This window comes from Homo sapiens, chromosome 19 (genome assembly GCF_000001405.40).
Source record: "Homo sapiens chromosome 19, GRCh38.p14 Primary Assembly".
Classification (NCBI taxonomy): Eukaryota; Metazoa; Chordata; class Mammalia; order Primates; family Hominidae; genus Homo; species Homo sapiens.
The window spans coordinates 56530213-56534165 of record NC_000019.10 but is presented as its reverse complement, the minus strand read 5'-3'; positions in this window follow the sequence as shown (position 1 = coordinate 56534165).

The window sequence follows — 3953 nt, the reverse complement described above, 5'->3', positions numbered from 1 at the left end:
CTGCACTTTGTGACACTTTGAACTGGGTGAGAAGCCTCCTGGTCAGAACTTGAGGCAGGGCACAGATCAGGTGTGCAGACTCTGCAGGCAGGAAAGAACGAAGCCCTTTTCTTTTGCAGTTTGGAGGCTCGTAGCCTGGGGCAAGTTCTCAAGCCTGGTTCATCCACTGGCTGGAAACAGACTCAGTTCTGTTGGGGGGTCACAGTAGGAGTGAGACCGGTTCTTTCGTTTGTGTGGGAGCTGGGTGAGGCCTGTCACTGCCAGCTTTCCCCCACTGCCCTGACAACCAGCATGACTCAGCAGAGGCAGCCATAATGCTCTTAGGTACCCAACTCCATTCATCTGGGAACCTCACCCACATCCCCCACAGCAGCCATAGCAAGACCTGCCCAAGGAGAGTGTGAGCTCAGACATACCTAGACCTGCCCCCACCTGATGTTCCTTCCCTGCCCACCCTGGTAGCTGAAGACAAAGGGCTTATAATCTTGGGAGTTCTACAGCCCCACCCACCAATGGTTCCTCTCCAAACTGCCACAGCTGGTGCTCTTTGGAAAGTGCCACCTCCCAGCAGGAGGCAAACCAGCACAAAAATAGAGCATTAAACAACCAAAGCTAAGAACTGTCACAGAGTCCATTTTATACCACTGCCACCTCCACCAGAACAGGTGTTGATATCGATGGCTGAGCGACCCATAGGTGGTTCACATCACAGGACTCTGTGCAGACAATGGCCAGTACCAGCCCAGAGCCAGGCAGACTTGCTGGGTGGCTAGACCCAGAAGAGAGACAACAGTCACTGCAGTTTGGCTCACATGAAGCCACATCCATAGGAAAAGTGGGGAGAGTACTACGTCAAGGGAATAGAAAAAGAATGGTAGAAAAGAATCTGAACAACAGCCTTCAGCCCTAGACCTTCCCTATGACAAAGCATATCCAAATGAGAAGGAATCAGAAAACCAACTCTGGTAATATGACAAAACAAGGCTCTTTAACACCCCCCAAAATCACACTAGTTCACCAGCAATGGATCCAAACCAAGAAGAAATCCCTGATTTACCTGAAAAAGGTTAGTTATTAAGCTAATCAGGGAGGCACCAGAGAAAGGTGAAGCCCAATGCAAGGAAATCCAAAAAGTGATACAAGAATTGAGGGGAAAAATATTCAAGGAAATAGATAGCATAAAGAAAAAAAATTAAAAATGCAAGAAACATTGGACACTTATAGAAATGCAAAATGCTCTGGAAAGTCTCAGCAGTAGAATTGAACAAGTAGAAGAAATTCAGAGCTTGAAGACAAGGTCTTAAATTAACCCAATCCAACAAAGACAGAAAAAGGAATAAGAAAATATGAACAAAGCCTCCAAGCAGTCAGGGATTATGTTACATGACCAAACCCAAGAATAATCAGTGTTTCTGAGGAAGAAAAGAAATCTAAAAGTTTGGAAAATATATTTGGGGAAATAATCAAGGAAAACATCCCTAGCCTTGCTAAAGATCTAGACATCCAAATACAAGAAGCACAAAGAATACCTGGGAAATTAACTGCAAAAAGATCATCACTAGGCACATTGTCATCAGGTTATCTAAAGTTAAGACAAAGGAAATAATGTTAAGATCTGTGATACAGAAGCCAACAAGCAACCTATAAAGGAAAACCTATCAGATTAACAGCAGATTTCTCAGCAGAAACCCTACAAGCTAGAAGGGATTGAGTCCCTATCTTCAGCCTCCTCAAACAAAACAATTATCACCCAAGAATTTTGTATCTAGTGAAACTAAGCATTATATATGAAGGAAAGATACAGTCTTTTGCAGACAAACAAATGCTGAGAGAATTCACCACTACCAAGGCACCACTATAAGAACTGCTAAAAGGAGCTCTAAATCTTGAAACAAATCCTGGAAACATATCAAAACAGAACCTCTTTAAAGCATAAATCACACAGGACCTATAATACAAAAAAAAAAAGTTAAAAAGCCAAAAAAAAAAAAACCAAGGTACACAGGCAACAAAGAGCATGATGAATGCACTGGTACCTCACATCTCAATACTAACATTGAATGTAAATGGCTTAAATGCTCCACTTAAAAGACACAGAACTGTAGAATGGATAAGAACTCACTAACCAGCTATCTGCTGCCTTTATGACACTCACCTAACCCATAAGGACTTCACATAAACTTAAAGGGTGGAAAAAGGCATTTCATGCAAATGGACACCAAAAAGAAGCAGGGGTAACTACTCTTATATCAGACAAACCAAATTTTAAAGCAACAGCAGTTAAAAGAGACAGAGGGATATTATATAATGGTAAAAGGCCTTGTCCAGCAGGAAAATATCACAATCCTAAACATATATGCACCTAACACTGGAGCTCCCAAATTTGCAAAACAATTACCAATAGACCTAAGAAATGAGATAGAGATCAACACAATAATAGTGGGGGACTTCAATACTCCATTGACAGTACTAGATAGGTCATCAAGACAGAAAGCCAACAAAGAGGTCTGGCACAGTGGCTCATGCCTGTAATCCTAGCACTTGGGTAGGCTGAGGCAGGCAGATCACCTGAGGTGAGGAGTTCAAGACCAGCCTGGCCAACATGGTGAAACCCTGTCTCTAATAAAAGTACAAAAATTAGCTGGGTGTGGTGGCAGGCACCTGTAATCCCAGCTATTCGGGAGGGTGAGGCAGAAGAATCACTTGAACCTGGGAGGCAGAGGTTGCAGTGAGCTGAGATCATGCCATTGTACTCCAGCTTGGGTGACAAGAGTGAAACTCCATCTCAAACTTTTAAAAAAAGAAAGTCAACAAAGAAACAATGGAATTAAACTATACCTTGGAACAAATGGACTTAACAGATATATACAGAACATTTCATCCAACAACCACAGAATACACATTGTATTCAACAGCGCATGGGACTTTCTCCAAGATAGACCATATGATAGGCCATAAAATGAGCCTCAATACATTTAAGAGATAAGAAACCACTTTCCTAAAACAGTCCTTCTTTGAAATGTGCCTAGCATCCTATGGATGGCAAGTAAAGCACTCCCTAGAGGTAAAATGCTGCTCTCAAGCACAGGATCAGGAAAAGCTTTTCAACTGTTTTTAGCCGAGGTTTCTCCCAGCAGGCTTAAACCCAACCAGAGGCCTTAAAACATCCCCAGGCACTGATAAAGATATCTAAGCATCATCTAGCCTAGATGTATGAGCTGGGCTTGTGCAAGAATCACCACCCATAATTCTTCAGAATGACTGCAACAGAAGTCTACCTTCCTTAGGGCTCTCCCAGAAATACTATATCCCTTTCTTCAGTATGTGCATACCTTAGTTACAGTTCTTTTGGGACTGCTCTGCCAATTCAGCAGGACAAAACAGGTTTACAACCTGGCAGAAGCATGAATCGGGTCAGGTCTAGGGAGCACAGCAGACAAACTCATATACCATCTTTAAGTCTTGGCCAAAGGATAACTCACATTCAACTTCCCCCATGTCTCAAGGAGTATCTCATTTGATTTAAATGAACCATATACAGGCTGGAAGCGGTGGCTTATGCCTGTAATCCCAGCACTTTGGGAGGCCAAGGTGGGCAGATCATGAGTCAAGAGATCGAGACTATCCTGTAGTCCCAGCTACTCAGGAGGGTGAGGCAGGAGAATCGCTTGAACCCGGGAGGTGGAGGTTGCAGTGAGCCGAGATCGCACCACTGCACTCCAGCCTGGTGACAGAGCGAGACTCCGTCTCAAAAAATAAAAACAAAAAATGAACCATGCACAACAAGCAACACATAAAAAAACTCATGGAATAACATGAGAGCAGCTCACCCCGCCCGCTACCAAAAACAAAACAAAACAAAAACAAACAACAGGGAAGGAGTTCTTGTATCTGTGTGCATGGTTTCTATTTGTATTGTAAACAAAAACAACAAATAAGATACTATGAATGCA